Source organism: Homo sapiens, chromosome 12, assembly GCF_000001405.40.
Source record: "Homo sapiens chromosome 12, GRCh38.p14 Primary Assembly".
Classification (NCBI taxonomy): domain Eukaryota; kingdom Metazoa; phylum Chordata; class Mammalia; order Primates; family Hominidae; genus Homo; species Homo sapiens.
Window position 1 is genome coordinate 56,468,569 of NC_000012.12, and position 23,625 is coordinate 56,492,193.

Consider the following 23,625-nt stretch of genomic DNA (forward strand, 5'->3'; position numbering starts at 1 on the left):
GCCCGGTTCATCCAAGGCGCAAGATGGCGCTGCTTTTTGCACGTTCTTTGCGCTTGTGCCGCTGGGGAGCCAAACGATTGGGAGTTGCCTCCACAGAGGCCCAGAGAGGTAGGATTATCTCTTTTTACTCTTTTACCTCCAGAATGGCTGCCGTCTATTATTCCCAGACCCCACTCCGAGAAGCAACTCCAACCCTCTCGGGTCTTTTCCTTCCCCACCTGCCTTGGTCTTAAGATTCCAAACCTGTGATACCATTTGGTTTCTTTAAATTCCGGGACTTACTCAATCCGAGTTTTTCAGCTCCGTGAGCTATCCGTAGTAAAGCGACCTCGCGACTCTCTTGCCCGCTTGGCATTCTGACTCTTCCCTAGTTGCTCGTGTATCATGGCTGCCTGCCTCATATCTGAATATATCACCAGCCCTAGGGTTCTAGCCCCTGTTATTATCCCGTCTTTTTGCTCTGCCCGCAGGCGTCAGTTTCAAACTGGAAGAAAAAACCGCCCACAGCAGCCTGGCACTCTTCAGAGATGATACGGGTGTCAAATATGGCTTGGTGGGATTGGAGCCCACCAAGGTGGCCTTGAATGTGGAGCGCTTCCGGGAGTGGGCAGTGGTGCTGGCAGACACAGCGGTCACCAGTGGCAGACACTACTGGGAAGTGACAGTGAAGCGCTCCCAGCAGTTCCGGATAGGAGTGGCAGATGTGGACATGTCCCGGGATAGCTGCATTGGTGTTGATGATCGTTCCTGGGTGTTCACCTATGCCCAGCGCAAGTGGTACACCATGTTGGCCAACGAGAAAGCCCCAGTTGAGGGTATTGGGCAGCCAGAGAAGGTGGGGCTGTTGCTGGAGTATGAGGCCCAGAAGCTGAGCCTGGTGGATGTGAGCCAGGTCTCTGTGGTTCACACGCTACAGACAGATTTCCGGGGTCCAGTGGTGCCTGCCTTTGCTCTCTGGGATGGGGAGCTGCTGACCCATTCAGGGCTTGAGGTGCCCGAGGGCCTCTAGTATGTCCATTACTGGAGTCCCTAATCACGCCTTTGGCCAGCCTCCTTTTGAAAGTGTCCGAAGCCTTTTTACTTTGCCTCAAGCAACCTCTAGCTCCCACAATTCAGTGTTGGGTCCTCTGTGCAATATCATGATCATCTTCCTCATCCCCTACCTTGTGAAAGCTAGGCATACAGCCAAACCCTCCTTTTCCCCACCCACCAACTACTGCCAATTTCCTAGGCTACCATGGGTGTATCTTCCTTGACCTGCTTCCTTCAGTCCCTCTGCCTCCCTTTGCCCAGGCCTTTCTCAGACTGTATTCCATCCTGGGGTCTTATCATTCAGCTTTGTTTGAATTTATTAATCACCATGATACCTCTCCCTCCCTTTGTCCACATGTAACTTGTTCTTGGGGCTCTACCAGATGGCTGAAGAGTAAATCCTTTCTACCTCTGGCTGAAGGAGTGGTGCAGTCAATGACTTGGCCCTTTTTCTACAGCACATTTAGAGTTTGGGCTCTGGCTCCCTCAGTAAGTGCTTTATTAACTCAGTGTGTCAAAATGAAAACAGAGCCCTCCTTCCCCAGTAGCTCAGTGCCACAGACCTTCAGCCCCACACAGCTGTAGCTATCCTTACCCTGAGTCCATCTACCTTAAATCTGTACCTCTGACACCCAGCCAGTCTGTCATAATCATTATCCCAGTTATAACCTTGACCAAAGGGGAAGAGAGACACTTGGGGGATATCTAGGGGATGAGTGCTAGAAACTATTTATTTATTTTTGAGACAGAGTCTCACTCTGTCACCCAGGCTGGAGTGCAGTGGCATGATCTTGGCTCACTGCAAACTCTGCCTTTTGGGTTCAAGCGACTCTCGTGCCTCAGCCTCCTGAGTAGCTAGGATTACAGGTGTGTGCCACCATGCCCGTCTCATTTTTATATTTTTAGTAGAGATGGGGTTTTGCCATATTGGCCAGGCTGGTCTCGAACTCCTGGCCTCATGTGATCAGCCCACCTTGGCCTCCCAAAGTGCTGGGATTTCAGGCGTGAGCCACCACACCCGGCCAAAACTGTTTATTCTTGAGAAGTTCCATCTTCATTTCTGCCACAGTTGGAACTTCCCGAGGAAGGAAGGAGGCCTGAGGTTTTGCACAATCTGTTTCAGAGCCTGTTTAGACTCAAACCTATGCTTCCCTTGGCAGCAGAATACACTTAACCTAAAGCAGTATTTGGAGTTGAGAAAAACCTGGTGGGGTAAGTGAATATGTACTGTTTGGTAGGGTAGGTAGAGAAGCTGTGCTTTGACCCTGTGATTCCATCTTTTTCTACCTTCTATGATGGTGATGAAGCTAGATACCCCTAGGGAAGAAAGAAGGACTGGGTTTAGCAAAAATGATTTGGTAATTAAAGTTTATTTGAACACAAAATACTTTCTCTGTCTATAAAATTGGCTGTTAGCAGTAGCAGCAGCATGTCCTGGCCAAGGGGAGTAGATTTCTCCAGACTACTAAAGCCATGTATATAGCCATTCCCACTTCCCATATTCTGTGGATATGTACATGTGCATGGTAGCTAGAGTCCCTCCACCAGAGTATCTCTCTCATGATGGTTTCTTCAGGGAGAGGAAGAGGAGACCTGGGTGAAGAGCTGGGATGGTTTTGAGTGGGGCAAGCCATTAGGCTGTACCTTGAAGCCCAGTCTCTCTGGATAGCTGTACTGCAGGTGTCCTCTGAGGCCCTTCTCTGTACTCTGTCTGCTGAGGGAATGGGGTATTTTGACTCCCATAGAAAGCACTAGCCTAAGTCACCAAATGACTGCTTGGTCCCCACTGAAGCAGTGTAGCTCTCCATAGTATTTTTGGTGGTTATGGATTACATGTGTGGCCAGCTCATGCTTTTTCTTGAGCAGGGGCTGTCCATGACCTGTGCTCATACCATGCTTTCTAAGTTCTCTTTGGACAGGGCCTCAGCTGCTGCCTCAGCCTGAGTTTCAGAGAGTGTGTAGGAGTCCTGGTAATCTTGAAGCAGTTTGACCACCTCCAGATGGTTGAACTGCACAGCATCATCCAGGGGAATGTTGCCCCACCTGAGAGGAATAATGATATGATCAGGCAAAGGAGACGTGGAGAGTGGTGGTTGTATATATTTGCATGGTGGCTGGAGGGTAGGTGGAGAAGCTGTGCCCACCCTCCTCCACTTTTAGCCTATTCCTCACCTGTCCTTGGCAAAAGGATTCACTTTGCAAGCCTCGATCAGGAATTTAACAACTTCGATGTGTCCTAGGAATATGGGCAGAAGGAAAATGAGAAGGCGCAGGTCTTGAACCCTTTGGTGCAGACACTTAGCCACTGAAGTCTTTACCAAGAGGGGAGGGGAAAAGGCCTCTTCCCATTTTGTACCCTGCAGCACTCAGTCATAGTCTAGCTGCAAACCGAAGGGTGTCTAGATAAAACTAGTTGCTGCCCCTATAACCTTGAGGGCACATATAATGAAGGTACTTTTGGTGAAAAAGAAAGGGTCTTATGATTACCCTCCTCCTCCCCTCCTTAACCCTTCAGTACCTTCAGCTGCAGCAACATGCAGAGCTGTGCGCGAGTCATAGTCTTTCTGTTCCATATCCATGGCTGACAAGGCAAACCTGAGGGTAGTGGGAAAGCAGCTAGAGTTGCCTAGATCAGACTGGAATCACAGGTGTTCTTTGTGAACTGGTGTCAGACTGGATGAGTTTCAGAGAAAGTGAAACAGCCTATAGCCAGATTTGTTGGCTCTGAATAATCTTTTTTCCATATCCAGATGAGACTGTTATACTCATATTAGAGAGATGGGAATGTGATCCTTCCAGAAATATCACTCACTGCCTACCTGTGGTAAGTGCCCATTTGAGGCAGGGTACCTACTTCCTAGGACACTGCTCTTAACACTCAATAACAATGGCTAACATTAATTATCATAGAGCAGACAGTTTACTTTTTTTAAAAAAAATCTCCTTTTTTAAAAAAATTTCATTTAAATGCAATCTATATCCATTCTAATTCCAAAGCTGAAGCACTTAACTATTTTGTTACGCTGCCTCCTAGTAAAATCTCTGACCAGGAGTATTTTATTGTGTATATTTGGTCACAGTAGCATTACCTTCGAAGAGCTGAGACATCGCCACTATAGGCAGCAAATAACAGGTTGACCACAGTCTTGTTCTGGAACACAAATCATACCCACATGACATTAATTGAACTCACCTATGCCAGCTGTGCCCTGTGACCCTCCTCCATGGATGCTTAGTCCAAGGGTATTGCTGAAGTGTTATGGAATGTGCTACTCTGAAATATTCTTTTTTTTTTTTTTTTTTTTGAGACGGAGTCTCGCTCTGTCGTTCAGGCTGAAGTGTAGTGGCGCGCGGTCTTGGCTCACTGCAACCTCTGCCTCCCGGTTTCAAGCGATTCTCCTGCCTCAGCCTCCCAAGTAGCTGGGACCACAGGCGCGTGCCACCACGTCTGGCTAATTTTTTGTATTTTCAATAGAGACCAGGTTTCACCGTGTTAGCCAGGATGGTCTTGATCTCCTGACCTTGTGATCCGCCCGCCTTGGCCTCTCAAAGTGCAGGGATTACAGGCGTGAGCCACCGCACCTGGCCTTTGAAATATTCTTACAAGCCACCTGGAGTTTTCCTTACCCGAATTTCTGCCCCTTCACGCCGTGGGTCTAACTTCCGAGCACAGTGCCTCAGGTTGTCATAGTTGTGGAAATTGAAGAGAGACACCAACTTCTAGAATTGTAAGCCAAATATATTGTTTATTTACTCCTTACACTTAGTAGGAGCTCAAAATTGCTTTATTATAGTAAAAGTGGTACCATTAAACAAATTTATTGCTTCAAAAATAGTAAGTACTATATGCAAAGCATCTCACCTGGCAGAAGCTGGTCCCCCTATGGCTGTTCCCCAGCTTGTCCAATGGGGGTGACAGGCACATCATTCCCATGACATTGGGTACCACCAGGAGGATGGCTCCTGATACAGCTGACTTGGCTGGCAGGCCCACCTGGGGAACAGAACTGAAGCTGAGGATAAAGTGGGTGTGCCCCAAATCAGAAAATAAACAAGTTAGGCTGTACTCTTAACAAGTTTACAAATGACTGCATGACCACAATCCACCTCAACCTTTTGGCTTGTTAATTAGCTTCTTTTATTACTCCTGTCCTTTCCTTCCCTTAAATTCATTGATTCAGCTAGAAAATATTTTTTGAAATACTTACAGCATTCTGTGCTAGATGCTGTGCTAGAACTAGGAACTTCCATTCTGGTGTTAGGAGATAGGTAATAAACAGGTAAATAAATAGACACGTAATGTTTAAAGTAATTGTGATAAATAGTGAGAAGTAGGGTGCTGTAAATAGAGGTAGAGGGGGGCCACATGAGATAGGGTGGTCAGAAAAGTCTTTCTTTGGAAATGACATCTAAGCTGAGACCCCAAGGAGAAGAGCCAGCAATGTGAAGCACAATTCAGGAGCTGCAACACCTCTGGTTGTTTTTCTTTTTCTTTTTTTCTTTTTTTTTGAGATGGAGTTTTGCTCTTGTTGCCCAGGCTACAGTGCAATGGCACAATCTCGGCTCAGTGCAACCTCTGCCTCCCAGGTTCAAGCACTTCTGCCTCAGCCTCCCAAGTAGCTGGGATTACAGGTGCACACCACCACCCCCGGCTAATTTTTTGTATTTAGTAGAGATGGGGTTTCACCATGTAGGTCAGGCTGGTCTCGAACTCCTGACCTCAGGTGATCCACCTGCCTCGGCCTCCCAAAGACATCTCTTTATATATTCGAGGAACTTGGTGTTTTTGAGAAACTCGTCTAAGGAGTCTCAACCTAATTGCCTTCCTGGAAGTTAGTGAATGAGAGGCAGGAACAAGCTTCCACCTCTATCTTGAGAGAGTCAGTGTTCTCTCTTCTTAGCACTGGGCTCATGACAGATGGATAGCAGAGCCAGAAACTCACGTGGAAGGCAAACTGGCCAGAGAAGTCATACATGCCGCAGGAATGCATGAGGCTGAGGGTGTTGCGCACTGCTTCAGCACTCAGCACACTCTCGCCTGTGATGGGGCAGATCCCACCGTTGGCGAGGGTGGCTGCCATGACACTGCCTGATTCACAAGTGACCTCCACAGAACACAGCTATGAAAACAAAGAATAGGTGAAGATGTGACGTGAACCTGCACATGGGACCCTCGGGTGTAGGGAAAGGGCAAGGGCAAGGACAGTCTGTCCTGTTCCCTCGGCCCTGAGCAGTGTTTTCTTACCTGGAAGTAGAGATCAAGGGCAGCCATCATGTCCACCCCCTTAGGAAAGCACTGCAAGGAAGAGAGGGGAGAGCATTTCTCTTCAGGACATCAGCCCTTTCACACTGTCAGGGTCTCAGCTGAAGCCCCCAACCCCTACTGCCCTTCCACTAGCAGCAGAATTCCCAGGGACTTTCTCTTCCGGCCTCTTCTGGTTACCTTCTTTTCCTTGAGATAATAGCCGATGGCATAATTCCGATCCCCTGTTTCCTTCTCTGACTGGAATCTGAAGCAAACACCCAATTTAGTACTTGAAGTTGGAGGAGTGGGTGTTGGGAGAAGGGGAAAAATTACCTTCCCTGGAGAGACAGAACTACATCACACCACAAACTAAATGAACCCCTTTATAACTTCTCACAGTAATATTAGAGGAAATTTCTGAACCTGAGCAAACACTCAGCATAGTTTTGTTATAAAGTAAACCCAAACCAAACACCCCAAACTGTCTAGTCATCTAGGAAAACTGGTGAAGTTTTTGGCTTTGAAAGTCTTGGCAAGAAAGGGCTTAGGCACAAACCATCACACTGCCTCTCTCATTATGTACTAATTAGAAATGGAACAAATTATTTTACAAGATAAACAAATGTTTATGAAGGGACTCAGAGGAAGCTGGAGGGCCAAAGTTCCCCTGGGATTTCTTCCTCCTAAGATTCTCTCTCCCCCATTCCTCTTGTCCCCATCCTAAGTACACACACATACACCACAATGCTTTCAGTCAGTCCTCTGAGTAGGGACTTACGTGGCATTGCTGAAACCCATGTATTCATTCCCAGCCATTTTGTTGAGATACTGCAACACCTGGAAGAGAAAAAGGGACATTGAGGCTCCACTTGGTTAAGAAGCTCTATTAATACCTCACAGGTTGACTAGCCCTTCTGAACTCAGGTCTTGTCAAGAGGCTTTCCTCTCTGAGGCCAGCAGATTTCCACATTTCTGGAAATAAGGCTTCTAGTATGGGCTGGTGCACCTGGTAGTGGGGTTAGAGAGCCACTGGGGCAGCTGGAGAGGACAGCATGCCATGGCGAAATGCAGCCAGGGGCTAAGTAGCAAGGGAACTTACAAAATCAAACTTCTCTGCTTTGTTACAGTCCATCTGCAGAGAAAGAGAGAGATGTCAGCATTCTAAGTGTAGGAGGATGACAGAGGGAAGGGTCAGAAGGATCTAGTGGAGTTCTAGTGTTAGTCTGGTCCTGCTGCTGCAAATGTGTTCAATTTTATAATGGCCCTTTTTTTATCCTTCTGAAAACACCGCACTTCCATTGGCTCCTCTCTTTCTCTTTCTTTTTTTTGAGACAGTCTTGCTTTGTCACCCTTGTCACCCAGGCTGGAGTGCAGTGGCACGATCATGGCTCACTGCAGCTTTGACCTCCCAGGCTCAAGCGATCCTCCCACTTCAGCCTCCAAGTAGCTCGGATTACAGGCATGAGCCAGCTTGCTGGGCCATCCCACTTCCATTCTCAATCCAAACCCTCATCCCTGACTCCCACGTTCATTTTCCTGACTCGAATCCTGTCTCCTAGCCCCACCCTATCCCTGATCTCCATCCCCATTCCTTACACCCCATGCTGGAGCTTTACTCCATCCCATTGGCCAGCATGATGGTTCATGCCTGTAATCTCAGCAATTTGGGGGGCTGAGGCAGGAGGATCGCTTGAGACCAGGGGTTTGAGACCAGCCTAGGCAACATAGGAGAGACCCTGCCTCAATTTTTTTTTTTTTTTTTTTTTGAGATGGAGTCTTGCTCTGTCGCCCAGGCTGGAGTGCAGTGGCAGGATCTCGGCTCAACTGCAAGCTCCGCCTCCCGGGTTCATACCATTCTCCTGCCTTAGCCTCCCGAGCAGCTGGGACCACAGGTGCCCACCACCAAGCCTGGCTAATTTTTTGTATTTTTAGTAGAGACGGGGTTTCACCGTGCTAGCCAGGATGGTCTCGATCTCCTGACCTCGTGATTTGCCCACCTCGGCCTCCCAAAGTGTTGGGATTACAGGCGTGAGCCACCGCGCCTGGCCTCTATATTTTTTAAAAAAGGTCCTACTTAGATGGGAATGGGATGAGGCAGGTCCCAGATACAGGTTTGTAGATGGAGCCATCACAGAACAAGGGGAGAGACTCAGCCTCTTTTCCTCACCCAGACTCATTGCTTACTCATGTGTCAACTACAGAGTCAATACCACAGGGACTCTGATACCTGAGTCCCTGAGGGGAGGATTCCTAACACCACCTTCCCCAGGAGGGGCTGTGATTGGCTCCAGGGTGTTGCTGCCCAGCTGCTCCCAGGTTCTTGCTCAAGCCCTGGGAGACCTACAGCTGATGGGCTAGTCTGACACCCTGTTCAAGGCCAACTCACAGTTCCAGGTGACGTGAATAACTGCCCTGGCCTGGCCATTCACCCTTGCCTGCAGGTGTCCCACACCCAGAAGTGGCCAATCAGTGCCCAATAGTGCTGTCCTCCCCTTGTCTCTGGCATTTGGCCCTTGGTCCTAGGCAGGGGTCAGGACCTGCTCACTTCTCTAAGGGTCAGAAAGCTCTAGGCTCTAGACTCATGGGTGGGGGCAGGGAACAGTACTGAGTGGGGATGACGGAGGTGGTGCAGTCTCTTATACTGACATTGTCAGCATAACATGTGGGTCCCTGCTGTGCCTCATGTGCCTTCTGGGGACCCTCAAAGGAATCAGAGCCCCACCAGTCTCCCTGGAGAGCTGAACAAATATGAGGGATACAGGAACACAGGAGCTTAGAGGATAATACCTATCAGAAGGTTAAGGTGGCACTGACCTTGATCAGGGAGCTGACAACAATGGCACCAGCATTGACCATGGGGTTATGGGGGATTCCTGGGGAAATACAAACCACCAAGAGTCTTAGCCACTGAACAAAGCCTCCCTGACAGCCCGCTCACTTTGTGGGTTAGACAAGAAAGACTGCTAGGGAGAAAGGCATGACAGGGCTAATCAGGAAGGGCAGAGAAACAAAAAAGGCTGGGAGATGGGGTGGGGATAAGGAGAAGGGGACAGCTGTAAGTACGGTCTGAGCCTTGGTAGTGCTCACCTTCCTCATTGAGGGAGAGCTTGTTGTAGCGCAGGCCACTTGGCTCTTTGCCCACAAACTTGTGCACGTAGTCAGTGCCTAGGGTGCTTATGGAGATGGCATAGGTGAGGGGCTTCACACAGGACTGCAGGCAGAAGGGGATCTTTGTGTGGCCCACAGAGTGCCTGGAGGCAGACAGATGCCATGAAAGGGGTTGGCCTGTGTTCGGCACCTGTGCCCTGCCTCCCCTTCCTCTTGCCCAGCATCTCACCGTTGACCATCCACAGTGCACAGGGAGACACCCCACAGGTCTGGGTTTGACTTGGCCAGCTGAGGGATGTAGGCTGCCACCTGGACATGAGTGGGTAGAGAAAAGGGAGATGGATGTGGAGAAGAGGAACAGAGTTGAGGTTGAGGGTCAAGAGAATCTTTTAGATAAAAGCTAAAATTCTGTCTTCTATAGGGCAGAGGGGTTCCCTCCTGCCTGTTGCTCCCAGAAATGCCCGAGCCTTAAGTCCTAGAAGGCCATATCTTTGTGTATCCGCAATCCTGTAGAGATAGCAGTAAAGCCAATGGAAGTTAAAAAAGGAGAATTCTGAGGCAACCTTCCCCTTTTGGTTCTTAGGCTCAGTTACCCTATAAATCCCTTTGAAGGCTCTATTCGATCTTGATTCCCTCACCTGCTCTAGGAATCGTGTATAGAAACACATGAAGCCATGTCACCATTTACAGAAGTTCTGCTTCTCATCTCTCATTCATAGGACTCCCAGCCCCAGGAAATCTCTGAGAAGCGAGGTATATCTAGGTGTGGTGGCTCATGCCTGTAATCCCAGCACTTTGGGAGGCCGAGGTGGGTGGATCACTTGAGATCAGGAGTTCGAGACCAGCCTGGCCAATATGGCAAAACCCCATCTCTACTAAAAATACAAAAATTAGTCGGGCATGGTGGTGTATGCCAGCTACTCGGGAGGCTGAGACAGGAGAATCGCTTGAACCTGGGAGGTGGAGGTTGCAGTGAGCTGAGATTGCACCATTGCACTCCAGCCCGGGTGACAGAGCAAAACTCTGTCTCAGGAAAAAAAAAAAAAAAAAAAATCTGGCCCAGGTCCCTGACCCCTCCCTTAGTCCCCTGACTCTCACTTTGCCTCCAGTGAGCTCTTTGACATCCTCAAAGATGCGATCCACATGGCCCGTGAACTCCTCAAAATCAGGAATGACAAACTTCTTTCGGAATGCCTGGGTCAGGAGCACAATGTTGCTGCTCACACACCTGGATCCCAGACACGATTGGATTAGGGGGCTAGAGAAATGCAGCTGGGACTCACTCTGGAGCCACGGAAATTGGGAATAAAGAAGGTTGAGTGGTCTTCAGGTTTGGGATCAACAGCTCTGTTACCTTTGGCAAATCAGTTTACCTTTCTAGGTCTTAGTTTCCGTACCTCTAAAATGAGGGGTTTTAATGATGTGGAAAGACACTATGTCTTGGGATATGAGAAAAAAAATAAATACCAGAATAATATGTATGTATGTTACCTTGATATTTAAAAAATCCTAAATCATAAAAGTATATTTATATATATTCATGTATGTATGTCAGTACATAGGACATTATCTAGAAGATACCCACTAATCTGCTAATATTTACTTCTGGGAAAAGAGGACAGGGATTGAGTAGGGAGGGAAAGGAGAACATGTATTTCTATATTGTTTGAACTCTTATGATGAGTATTCATGTATAACTTATGTAATAAGTAATAAAATAAAATGAGGAATTGAACTATACAATTCCCAAATTCCTCCCTGCTCTGAGAGTCTATGTCCACAGGACAGTTTTCAGAGAGCAGTGCCCTTGTTTCTGGGGCCCTCACTTTCGGAAGAGATCTCGGTCCAAGAGGCCACCACTACTGGACTCTTGGACCACGCGGTGCATCTCGCTCATGCAGTCTCGGAGCCGAGGATCTGATGTCTGCAGTCCAGTGGCCTTTAGTGCCTTTAGAGGAAAGAAGAGGCCAGAAAGGTCAGCTACAAGGACAGTGATGTACTCCTCATAATCTTTCCCACTGGATACCCAATTAGCTGAACCCCAACCACTACAATAGGTGGAACAAATGGGTTTGGAGAATAAGAAAGGAGGGGATGGAGTAGCTCTGAAGGCTAACAAGGGTTTCCTGTCCTTTTTCCAGAGGGTTTAATCTTCTGACCCTGGGGCAGGGATGGGCTTGTCTTGTCAGCCTAGACATCTGGATTCTCATCCATCTGTATGCTTCACCCTCATGTAGCAACCCATTAGCTGCCCTGCACTTGTCATACCCTCCTTTCCCCACTTTTCAGAGATCTTAAGGAATTAGGATCCTGAACAGGTAGAGGGCAACTTACAGTGGTGAACTTGTGGATAGGGATTCGTTCCTGTCCTTCAGCAATAGTGTAAAAGAGCAAATCACCCAGGCGGGACAGCATGCCACTTTCTGATGAATCACTGTTTGGGGGCAGAGAATGGGGAGGAAAGTGGGGCCTGAGAACTGCTACCTGCTCCTCCTTCTGCAACATGGGCTTATAAGTAGGTGAGTGTCCTCATTCTATGCCTCCTCCTTAAGCCATCTGATCTATCCCTATAAATCTAACTTTCATGTCTGTCCTAAGAAGTTGTAGATCTTTTCTCTAGCTTTTACTCCTGACCTTCAGATCTTTATTTTTAGCTCCCTTCTCACACTTCCACCTATAGGTTCCCCACAAGCACTGAAAAATATGTCCAAACCTGAGTCATCTCACTTCCTTCCCTCTTCTTCTCCTCTTGTTTCCCACCTGGGTTAACAGCATTACCACCCACCTGGGTGCCAAGCTGGAAATGTGGCATCATTTTGATAGTTGCCACACCTTAAGTCCATGCTTAGTTGGTCACCAACATTGGATGAATCTGCCTCATAATGTCTCAAATCCACCCTCTCCTCCTTTTCCCTGTGCCAGCATGGTGTAGTAGACCAGAGTTTGCCCCTTAATAGCTGTGTGATCTTGAGCAGGTCGCTTAATATTGCTGAACTTGCTTCCTATCTGTAATACAAGGGTAGTAATGTCTACTTCACCTGGGTGATGTGAGGCTTAAGATAATATTCTGTGAAAAACTGCCTGACACAAAGTAAATGTTCAATAAATCATGTTTATCATCAGCTCCTTATTCCCTATTACCTAATTGCCACTACACTCTCTTGACTTTCAATCCATCTTTTTTTTTTTTGAGACAGAGTTTTGCTCTTGTTGCCTCAATCCACCTTCTAAAATGTGCCAGTGATCTTTTTTTTTTTTTTTTTTTTTTTTGAGACGGAGTCTGGTTCTGTCGCCCAGGCTGGAGCGCAATGGCGCGATCTCGGCTCACTGCAACCTCCGCCTCCTGGGTTCAAGCGATTCTCCTGCCTCAGCCTCCTGAGTAGCTGGGATTACAGGTGTGCACCACCACGCCTGGCTAATTTTTTTGTATTTTTAGTAGAGACGGGGTTTCACCATTTCGGTCAGGCTGGTCTCGAACGCCTTACCTCGTGATCCGCCTGCCTCAGTCTCCCAAAGTGCTGGGATTACAGGTATGAGCCACCACGCCCAGTCAAAATGTGCCAGTGATCTTTCTAAACTCAAATGTAATTTCTCTACTCAAAAACGTTTGGTAGCTCCCCAGTGCCTACAGAATAAGCACTTGAAATAAGAAGTAGGCTGGGCATGGTGACTCACACCTGTAATCCCAGCACTTTGGGAGGCTGAGGCAGGCGGATCACCTGAGGTTAGGAGTTTGAGACCAGCCTGGCCAACATGGTGAAACCCTGTCTCTATTAAAAAATACAAAATTAACCGGGCATAGTGGCATCTGCCTGTAATCCCAGCTACTCCAGAAGCTGAGGCAAGAGAATTGCTTGAACCCAGGAGTCAGAGGTTGCAGTGAGCCGAGATCACGCCATTACACTCCAGCCTGGGCAAAAAGAGCAAAACTCCATCTCAAAACAAACAAACAAAAACTTGGTAGGACATCAAAAGCTCTTTAAAACCTGCCAATTGGCCGGGCATGGTGGTTCACACCTGTAATCCCAGCACTTTGGGAGGCCAAGGCGGGCAGATCACCTGAGGTCAGGAGTTCGAGACCAGACTGACCAACATGGTAAAACCCCGTCTCTACTAAAAATACAAAAATTAGCCAGGTGTGGTGGTGGGCTTCTGTAATCTCAGCTACTTGGGAAGCTGAGGCAGGAGAATTGCCTGAGCCTGGGAGGTGGAGGTTATAGTCAGTCGAGATTGTGCCACTGCACTCCAGCCTGGGTGACAGAGTGAGACTTTGTTTAAAAAAAAAATAAAGTAAAATAAATAAAACCTGCCCACTTAACTTTCCTATTCCCCATCATGCCCACACTCCAGATATAACAGGCAATATAGATGGTTCCCCAAAATGGGCCAGGAACTGTGAGGCTTCCTGGCCTTTGCTTATGCTGTAACTTCTGCATAGAAGGACCTTTGCTTAGTATGGTCCTGCTCATTCTTCAAAGTCCAGATCAAATGTCACCAACTCTGTAAAGGCTTCCCCAAACCTCCAGATATTGCTTATGCTGCCGGTTTGACACAACACACCATCTTACTGACAGAAGAATCTCCCTTGCTCCACAGTTAGGTCTTTGTGTTTTATACATCTTTGTCTTCCTAGCCCTCAGCAAAGTCCCTAGCACACAGTGGGTCTTCGATAAGAATTACTAAGTTGTATTGCTAGCAAGGTCCCTGTGTCCCAAAGTATCTCTCTGGCTTATAACACCTAAAATTCCAGGTACTGAAGACTTCTTAGTTTTCAAGATTTCCATTAATATGTTAAAATATTTAGAAGAGTTATTGTTTTTTTAAGTAGAAAAGGGGTCTCACTATGTTGCCTAGGCCGATCTCAAACTCCTGGACTCAAGTGATCCTCCCACCTCAGCCTCCCAGAGTGCTGGGATTATAGGCGTGAGCCACCGCACCCAGCCAAGCAGAGTTATTTTATCAGATTATTTCCAAATATGACAGCTAGTTGCGATTAAGACCCTTCAAAGATCTTTGACCCAGTAATTTGACTTTCAGTGATTTATTCTACAGGTATACTCACACACCTCAAAAATAACATATTTACAATTATTCATCACATTGTTGTTTTTTCTTTTTTCTTTTTCTTTCTTTTTTTTTTTTTTTGAGACGGAGTCTTGCTGTGTCACCCAGGCTGGAGTGCAATGGTGTGATCTCGGCTCACTGTAGCCTCTGCCTCCTGGGTTCAAGTGATTCTCCTGCCTCAGCCTCCCAAGTAGCTGGGATTACAGGCACGTGCCACCACGCCCAGCTAATTTTTGTATTTTTAGTAGAGACAGGGTTTCACCATGTTGGCCAGGCTGGTCTCGAACTCCTGACCTTGTGATCCGCCTGCCTCCCCCTCCCAAAGTGCTGGGATTACAGGAGTGAGCCACCGCGCCCGGCCCTCATCACACTGTTAGTAATAGTAAGATTAGAAACAACTTGATGTGCAACAATAGGGAACTGATTAATTATGGTATATTCATATAATGCAATATTATGCAGTGTAAAAAAAAGAAATTGGGGTGTGCTCTAAGAATTGATATGGAATTATCTCTAAGATATAATATTAACTAAAAGAAGCGTGCTGTAGAACAGTATAATATTAACTAAAAGAAGCGTGTGGTAGTATTTATGTTTGTTTGTTTGTTTTTAGAGATGGGGTTTAGCTGTATTGCTCAAGCTGGCCTTGAACTCCTGGGCTCAAGTGATCCTTCTGCCTCAGCCTCCCTAGTAGCTGGGACTATAGGTGTATGCCACCATGCCCAGTTTTATTTATTTTTATTTTTAAATTTATTTTTTTATTTCAATAGGTTTTTGGGGAACAGGTGGTGTTTGGTTACATGAGTAAGTTCTTTAGTGCTAGCTTTATTTTTTCATTTGTTTTTTCTTTTTTTTCTTATATCAGTTTTCTCAGGTTGAAGCACAGGTTTAAAAGGGAAAAATATATATGTGTTTGCTTATTCAGGCACAGGATATTTCTAGAAGACCATTTAGGTAGAAATAGGTAAGACTGGCTGGGCATGGTGGCTCATGCCTGTAATCCCAGCACTTTGGGAGCCTAAGGTGGGCGGATCATGAGGTAAGGAGTTCGAGACCAGCCTGACCAACATGGTGAAACCCCATCTCTACTAAAAGTACAAGAATTAGCCGGGTGTGGTGGCGCGCACCTGTAATCCCAGCTACTCAGGAGGCTGAGGCAGGAGAATCGCTTGAACCCAGGAGGCGGAGGTTGCAGTGAGCTGAGATTACGCCACTGCTCTCCAGCCTGGGCAACAGAGCGAGACTCCATCTCAAATACATAAATACATAAATAGGTAAGATTGATTCATCTCCTTCTACAGAGATGACATAGGTGCCAGGAAAAAGGGATGGGAGGATACTTTTCACTATCTTTTGTATATTTTGAATTTTGAACCATATGGAATATATTATCTATTGAAACAATGGATTAAAAAATAATACTCAAACAGCTTGGCATAGACTAGGCATGTGTGTGTTTGGAGTCAGGAGGAGTACCAGAAGAGGGAATACCAGAAGAGTTTTCCTGCTTCTGGGGAAATCCGGTTGTCACAATGAAGCTAATGCCTATAGGGGGGAGAGGAGGAAAAAAGCTATCTGAGGGATAACTCAAGAAGGAAAGTACATAGGAACACTCTGAAGGCAGGACTCTGCCTGGAAGCCAACAGAAGACAGGAAATAATGCTATACCACTGAATGTATCACAAGCCTAAAAAAACTGCATATCCCTCAGATATGGATGGATCACCAATGTAATGTTGAGGGAAAACAAGCAACGTACAACAGCAATGTGTATAGTATGATACCAAAAAAGCAAGGTATAGGAACATTGTTTATAGGATACCATTTGTATAAAAAAAGGTAAAGTAGTATCAGCATGTATTTTATGCATAAAATATCTCTAGAAGACTATACATGATATTAATGACATCAAATTATCTCTGGGGGCAAAATTTCCTTGGAATTTATGAAATAATTGAACAAGTGTACAAGACTATATAGTAACCAAATTGAAGACTGGTTATATAAACTATGATACCTCAAACAATGGAATCTTTTAAAATGACAAGATGACAATGTCATACACATTCGATGATATTAAAAGCTGTTCATAAATGAAAAAGATAAGTTCAAGAATATGACTATTATCCCATTTTTGTTAAATTACATATACATATATAGGATATATATGAATATATCACAATATTAATTGGTTATCTCTAATACTGGGATATTTCTTTTTAAAATTTTTAAGTAATAAACTTATTTATTTATTTTTGACACAGGGTCTTGCTCTGTTGCCTAGGCTGGAGTGTGGTGATGCAATCATGGATCACTACAGCCTCGACCTACAGGGCTCAAGTGATCCTCCCACATCAATCTCCCAAGTAGCTGGGACTACAGGCATGCGCCACCATGCCTGGTTAATTTCTGTATTTTTTTTTTTTTGGCAGAGACAGGGTTTTGCCATGCTGCCCAAGCTGGTTTCGAACTCCTGAGCTCAAGTGATCCCCCTGCCTTGGCCACCCACAGTGCTGGGATTACAGGTGTGAGCCACTGCACCTGGCTCTAAATTTATATATTTTTTAATTGAAACATAATTGTACACATGTTTATGGGATGCATAGCAATGTTTCAATACACAGGATTATAGTGATCAGATAAGGGTAATTAGTATATCCATCATCTCAAACATTTATCATTTCTTTGTGTTGGGATATTTTCCTCTTGATACTCTTGTGTTTCTTTTAAAGTCATAAATATGGCCCGGCACGGTGGCTCACGCCTATAATCCCAGCACTTTGGGAGGCCGAGGCAGGTGGATTATCTGAGGTCATGAGTTTGAGACCAGCCTGGCCAACATGGTGAAACCCCATCTCTATTAAAAATACAAAAATTAGCCAGTCGTAGTGGTGGGTGCCTGTAATCCCAGCTACTCAGGAAGCTGAGGCAGAGGTTGCAGTGAGCCGAGATTGCGCCACTGCACTCCAGCCTGGGCGGCAAAGAGACTCTGTCTCCAAAAAAAAAAAAAAAAAAAAGTCATAAATACAGCTAAATAGCTAAATATTAAACAAACAATAACCTGAATAACAGCGCATTTCCTCTTTGCTGCTCTCTTTCCTCCCCCAAACACAGGAACCCCACCCCATCATGGTGTCACACTGCCAGAGCACATCACTCTCCAGTGCTCTCAACCCTTTCTGCCTGGGGAGCACCAGTCCGAGGATATGATAGGGGGTTCCCTGGGCAGAAGAAACAAGGTCCCCTAAAAACACTTCCATCACCAGACTCCACTGGATAAGGAGGTGTGTGTGTGGGGAACCAGGGATACCTCTAGTTCCCTACTCTGCAGAAGGCGGACAGATGAGGGAAGTTCAGCCTTTGCTGTATCCCACCATTATTTCTCCCATGGTGAATACCTGGGGGGAAGTTGGGGTGGAGACTAGAACAGGAGGGAGAGGGCTTATCCTTTAAATGTTCTGTGTCTCTTTAAGAAGAAGCTGATGGGAAAGTACTGTGTAATATGGATAAGCAGACACCATGACTATGAAAAAGAGAAAAGGGCCGGGCGTGGTGGCTCATGCCTGTAATCGCAGCACTTTGGGAGGCTGAGGCAGGCGGATCACCTGAAGTCAGGAGTTCAAGACCAGCAGGGCCAACACGGTGAAACCCTGTCTCTACTAAAACTACAAAAAGTAGCGGGTTGTGGTGGCGCGCACCTGTAATCCCAGCTACTCGAGGTAATCCCAGCTATTCGAGAGGCTGAGGCAGGAGAATTACTTGAACCCAGGAGGTGGAGATTGCAGTGAGTCGAGATGGTGCCACTGCACTCCAGCCTGTGTGACAGAGTGAGACTCCGTCTCAAAAAAGAAAGAAATAAAAGTACTGCATAATGTCATTAATAATAAATAATACCTATTGGTGTCCCTTACGACAGAGACTCGAGTAGTGGTGAGGTAGTGTTGTGTCAGAGACTCGAGTAGTGGTGAGGTAGTGTTGTGTCAGTCTGGCTACTTTACTGATGGTGTCCATGTTTCTGAGTGTCATCAGGGAGATGGCAGCGACGAGGGAGATGGCCCATTTCCTGTTCCTGCTACAGTAGAGCAGGGGCTCTTTGGACAGTGTCTATGCTGGCCCTCTGGGGAGGACAAGATTTCCTGCTCAGCACCGTCTGGGTCTCAGAGAAAAAGGCTCAGCCACCAAGTGTGTCCTAGGCGGTGGGGAAGATAAAGGTTTGGCATCCTGGGTGGAAGAAACACCCAAAGGAAGAGAACGTTTTAGATTCTGGAGCCTGGGCAGCACAAATAAAGGCTCTGACTGGCTCTGGTTTGGGAAATCTGCGTCTTAAAGACCTTTCCTCCATTACAAATATTCTCCCCATTCAACAACCAGTTTGGAAATTCCCCCCCATTCTGCTGTTCAGGGAGCACTGCTACGCACACACCCAACACTTATGGACGTACCTGCGCACCAATAATACACGCGCATCACACATTACCTGCCGAGAACACGCAGAAACACAACACACAGACCCCAGTACACCTGGACCGGAGGCAGGAGGCTGTTCCACATCCACGCATCTCCTAAAATACACACGAGGACTAGGGAAGGTGAGGACTGGCGGCGTGAGCCCGGCCCTGCACTCAGACACGTGAGCCAAGCAACACTCGGCGCGCATCTGTGATCCGGGTTAAGTGCGCACCTTGGACAGGCGCCATCCCCAGGACCCGCTTGCCCGAACGCACTCCTAGGCAGACGGCAGATTACCGCCCGAGCGCGGCGCACCCAAAGCCCCACATCCAAAGGAAAAGGCACCGAGGGCTAGTGAGCGAGGAGAGGGGAGATGAGCGGCGCTGCCTTGGAAGGGCACTCGGGAACTAGCGAGAACCACAGTGGGAGTGGGGGCAAGCCCGTCCCCTGCCCTGTCCCAGGAGCCTTACTGATCCTGGTGCTGCGGCTGGTGGCTGTGTGGCGTCTCTCTGCCCTGCGCCGCGGCCTCACTGAGGTGGTGCCGGACGCCCCCGCCAAGGAGGGGGCTCCGGCTCGGGTGACCCCAGCCTCCTCGCCCGCAGTGACTGCCAGCCCGGCTCAGGGCCTTCTGCAGAGCCTTCATGGAGCGCATGCCCCAGCAAGCCTCCGGCTCTGCAGGTGCGCCCGGGACCTCTAGCTGTGGCTGGGAAGGAGGGGCGGAGCGAGCGAGACAAGGTGCGGGGGAGTTCTGTGAGGGAGCGCTGGACCTGGAAGACGGAGAATGTGGGCCCGGTGGGTGGGGCTGGGGCTGGGGCAGGAGAAGGGGCCTGCCCCTTTAAAGCTGGCTCCAGGGTTAGGGGCACCCTCAGGACAGGGGCTAGGTGAGGAGCGTTGGGGATGAAGGAGAACCCGGGTGGCTTTCTAGTGGGTGGAGAGAGGGCGGTGCCTGGGAGCTGGAATGGACAATGCCCAGGTCCAATCACTGAGGAAGCAAAAACATTGAGGCGGGGAAAGGGTAAGGTTGCCCAATGAGAGCAAGACGGTGGGACCTTGCGACAGTCTGCGGATGCTTCCGCGTGGGCCCGGCGAGCGCGGGTATCCGCGGATGCTGAGGGCGGGAAAGGCGAGGACAAGCTGAGGCGAAGCCGGTGGGGGCGGGAGGCGCTCCCCGGGAACACCGTGGGGCTGCGAATGATGGAGTTGTCGTGTAGAGAGGAGGGTGCTGCCTCGAGAGAGGAGGCTAAGTAAGAGTGAGCCCAGTTCAGGAGGTCACTCAGAGAGCCTCGACCTCCGAAGGCCAAACCAGCGCCCAGTAACCCGGCGGGTAGCGTGGCGCGCGGCCGACGTGCGGTGGTGCTGAGTGGAGAGTAGGATGACTGCTGGGTACCCCGGGCAGAAGCAGCCGACCAGCACCTCAGGGAGGCATTGGGCGGCGGGAAGGTCGCTCTGGCGGTTAGGAAGCCTGGGTTCCAGTTTGTGTCCCTCTACCATTTATTTGGTGTAGGACTTGTTTTCAAATCTGGAAAGTTAAGACATTAAAATAAGTTGGCACGCAGAAAAACGTTTTATAAACCATGAAGTGCTCCCCACATTTTTCCTATTTTAATTGTTTGCCCTTGTCCTCCTCACGGGCAGAAAAGAGGCGATATACAAAAAGCATTTTGAAATCCAAGAACATTCAGGACTTTTGCCATTTGCAGCTAGAACTTTCACCTTGTATCTCGGCAGCGCCTAACCCAGCATCCATATTTAGTAGGGACTCATTATGTAAATGATAGCTATTATTGAGTGCCCATGGTGTTCCAACCGCTTAGTTTCTCTCTCCCTCTTACCAGAGACCTACAAAGTAGTTATTAGTCTCAATTTGAAGGTGAGGAAACTAAGACTAGGAAATTAAGAATTCTCGCATAAGGTAACCCAGCTAGTAAGTACCAGAACCAGAAATTAGACCCGTTTTTTTTTTTTAACTACAAGTCTCTCCTTCATGCAGCCCTTCTCAAAAATTAAGCATTGAATTGAATTATCCCGGGAGAAATGACCCCATCCCTAAAGGAGGTATTTTATGTGGAAGTATTATGATACAGTACTGGGAGTCTTTTCCTTGTGATAGTTCTGGCTGTATCACAAAATACTAGTTTTTGTTTGTTTGTTTTTGAGACGAAGTTTTGCTCTTGTTGCCCTAGCTGGAGTGCAATGGCGCAATCTCGACTCACTGCAACCTCCGCCTCCTGGGTTCATGCGATTCTCCTGCCTCAGCCTCCCTAGTAGCTGGGATTACAGGCGCCTGCTACCTCGCCCAGCTAATTTTTTGTATTTAGTAAAGATGTGGTTTCGCCATATCGGTCAGGCTGGTCTCAAACTCCTGACCTCAGATGATCCGCCCGCCTCAGCCTCCCACAAGTGCTGGGATTACAGGCATGAGCCACCGTGCTTGTCCCATAGTTTTCATTTTTGGATTAAAATGAGTTTCAAGGGTACTCGTGGGAAAACAAGTACTGAAACCAGTCAGGTGTGTTCTGTGGAAAGGCAGTTCTCCTTTGCCTTGGTTAGGGTTGGAGGGCTTATTTGGCTTAAAACCAGATGGAGTGACATTTGTTTTTGCTTGTTTTCGCCTTCTGTAGTCATTCTGTGTCTGCTGTATCTGTTCTCCTGTCCGTGGAAAGCCGTCTAATTCTGGGAGGGCTTGCTGCTTTATGCTTGGCTTTGCCCAAGAGGCAGAGTTCTGGGTCTCAATACTTAACGTAAACTCAATCCTGCATTAGTTTTTTTCATACGTAACAGACGAATCTTATCCTTGTTTCATAGAAATATGATTTATCTGAAACGTTTTGATCTATTCAAGAGAAAAATACCATCTGTTAGGGAATTTCTAAACATTACCCAGAAGTAATTTGCTTCCTTTTTTTCCTATTTCTGCCTCTTTGAATTAGCTTTATACTCTAATGAGTTCCTTACTCTCTTTCTCCCAGCACTCTTCCACTAATAGGAACTGGTTGGGTAGTGAAGAAGATCTATGCATGGAAGCAGAGGTTCTTTGCTTAGAGAACTAGCTCCAGCTGCACTTGGACCTTTGGACTAACTGTCTCCAATACAATATTGCTGTCTTTGCATGAGGATGGAGCATGAACTGGTGACTTGGGAGGCCAATGGTACTGTGTAAAGTATAAGATGCTGGAGAAGAACAAGTTTGTTGTCCCAGGTGGTTAAAGCTTGGCAGGGTCAGGTCCTCTTTTTGTTTCTAATTTGAAAAATACTCATCATCTAGTTTAATTTGTGCAAAACTATTAGCCAACTATGACAAGGGCAGCTAGAAATGAAGATTTTCATAACTGAAAGAAAGTTCTTTGTGTCTCTAACAGTGGGCTTTTAGGTTAGTCCATGGCTGTGCCAGAGTTTTGTGGTATGTGAGAGAGGATTAGACTTAATGATTTTGAATCCTTAATAAAAGCTAAATCCGGGCCGGGCGCGGTGGCTCATGCCTGTAATCCCAGCTGCTCAGGAGGCTGAGGCAGGAGAATTGCTTGAATCTGGGAGGCGGAGGTTGCGGTGAGCTGAGATCACGCCATTGCACTCCAGCCCGGGCAACAAGAGCAAAACTCCGTCTCAAACAAAAAAAAAAAAAGAAAAGAAAGAAAGAAGGAAAAGCTAATCCTCTGTGATAGGAAATTGATGTTTGGAGTTTGTTTATTTCTTATGATTTAGAGACTCATTTGTTCTACTCTATTTTGTGTGTGTGTGTGTGTGTGTGTGTGTGTGTGTGTGTGATGGAGTCTCGCTCTGTCGTCCATGCTGGAGTGCAATGGTGTGATCTTGGCTCACTGCAACATCCGCCTCCCGGGTTCAAGCAATTCTCCTGCCTCAGCCTTCCGAATAGCTGGGATTACAGGCACCCGCCAATATGCTCGGCTAATTTTCGTATTTTTAGTAGTGACGGAGTTTCACTATGTTGGCCAGGCTGGTCTCGAACTCCTGACCCCTTGATTTGCCCGCCTCAGCCTCTCAAAGTGCTAGGATTGCAGGTGTGAGCCACCGCACCTGGCCTGTTCTACTCTTTAGACTGTAGCTAGGATGTTAATTGGTCCAAGTAAAAGATTAGTTCATTTTTTTATTAATCTTTGTTAATGATACTATTGTTACAAACTCCTTTCTGCCTTAGTTTCTCCATTTGTAAAAGATAAACTTGTATTTTACTGGGTAAAATGTAAGTACTTGGGGCTCTGACATAATGAGCTTCCATTCACTCAATTAATATTTATTTGTTGGCATTCAGTGTGCCAGGTCCAGTGCTGGAAAATCCAGAAATTTAAAAATTTAATAAACCAGTTTCTACTGGGAGAAATGAGAAAGCTTATGTTTAAAATTCCTAATGAAAAATGCTGTGATGTAGAGACATGCAGAAGAAAGTATAAAGGGGACATCTAACTAAGCTGGGGGTGAAGGGCCACTGGGATAGAAGAGGAATGGTGACTGACAGGAGCTGGTTTTTAAAGCACGAGAGGTGTTTCAGACAGAGGGCTCTACAAGAATAAACATAGCCTGAGAGGAACATTTGAGGGACTCTACCTCTAGTTTGGTTGGAATGAAACGTGGGTATAAGAATGTGGACCAGCCGGGCGTGGTGGCTTATGCCTGTAATCCCAGCACTTTGGGAGACTGAGGTGGGCAGATCACAAGGTCAGGAGTTCGAGACCAGCCTGACCAACACGGTGAAACCCCATCTCTACTGA

At 47.2% G+C, this 23,625-nt stretch overlaps 2 protein-coding genes and 1 long non-coding RNA gene across 7 annotated transcripts, besides 4 other annotated features; 2 read left to right on the plus strand and 1 right to left on the minus strand.

Annotated features, from left to right (window-relative positions):
• SPRYD4 (SPRY domain containing 4) lies at window positions 10–11,140 on the plus strand. Its single transcript, NM_207344.4, has 2 exons — window positions 10–108; window positions 471–11,140. Exons 1-2 carry the CDS (start codon window positions 24–26, stop codon window positions 1,007–1,009), a joined length of 624 nt encoding a protein of 207 aa, NP_997227.1. The 5' UTR covers window positions 10–23; the 3' UTR covers window positions 1,010–11,140.
• Window positions 258–307: an enhancer, noted in NCBI's record as "active region_6500". NCBI's record gives its function as "activates an Ori minimal core promoter by ATAC-STARR-seq in GM12878 lymphoblastoid cells {active_cell/tissue: GM12878}" and the evidence as "EXISTENCE:reporter gene assay evidence [ECO:0000049][PMID:35858748]".
• Window positions 728–857: an enhancer, noted in NCBI's record as "active region_6501". NCBI's record gives its function as "activates an Ori minimal core promoter by ATAC-STARR-seq in GM12878 lymphoblastoid cells {active_cell/tissue: GM12878}" and the evidence as "EXISTENCE:reporter gene assay evidence [ECO:0000049][PMID:35858748]".
• GLS2 (glutaminase 2) lies at window positions 2,384–19,593 on the minus strand. Of its 5 annotated transcripts, none has more exons than NM_013267.4 (18): window positions 19,369–19,593; window positions 11,720–11,819; window positions 11,212–11,333; window positions 10,484–10,613; window positions 9,615–9,694; window positions 9,365–9,528; window positions 9,092–9,150; window positions 7,377–7,409; window positions 7,056–7,114; window positions 6,476–6,542; window positions 6,278–6,328; window positions 5,976–6,152; window positions 4,895–5,026; window positions 4,660–4,752; window positions 4,122–4,183; window positions 3,551–3,627; window positions 3,205–3,268; window positions 2,384–3,075 (listed from the first exon to the last, which is right to left on the minus strand). In NM_013267.4, exons 1-18 carry the CDS (start codon window positions 19,548–19,550, stop codon window positions 2,919–2,921), a joined length of 1,809 nt encoding a protein of 602 aa, NP_037399.2. In that variant the 5' UTR covers window positions 19,551–19,593; the 3' UTR covers window positions 2,384–2,918. The 5 variants fall into 5 exon arrangements, with proteins under 5 accessions (NP_037399.2, NP_001267725.1, XP_005268854.1 ...); NM_001280796.2 differs by having other exon boundaries at window positions 6,476–6,615; XM_005268797.1 differs by lacking the exon at window positions 19,369–19,593 and adding an exon at window positions 18,927–19,031.
• Window positions 18,272–18,764, plus strand: LOC124902944 (uncharacterized). The gene is made up of 2 exons (XR_007063331.1): window positions 18,272–18,384; window positions 18,419–18,764. It is a non-coding gene; the product is annotated as an uncharacterized LOC124902944 (long non-coding RNA).
• Window positions 19,130–19,349: an enhancer, noted in NCBI's record as "active region_6502". NCBI's record gives its function as "activates an Ori minimal core promoter by ATAC-STARR-seq in GM12878 lymphoblastoid cells {active_cell/tissue: GM12878}" and the evidence as "EXISTENCE:reporter gene assay evidence [ECO:0000049][PMID:35858748]".
• Window positions 19,510–19,939: a silencer, noted in NCBI's record as "silent region_4559". NCBI's record gives its function as "represses an Ori minimal core promoter by ATAC-STARR-seq in GM12878 lymphoblastoid cells {active_cell/tissue: GM12878}" and the evidence as "EXISTENCE:reporter gene assay evidence [ECO:0000049][PMID:35858748]".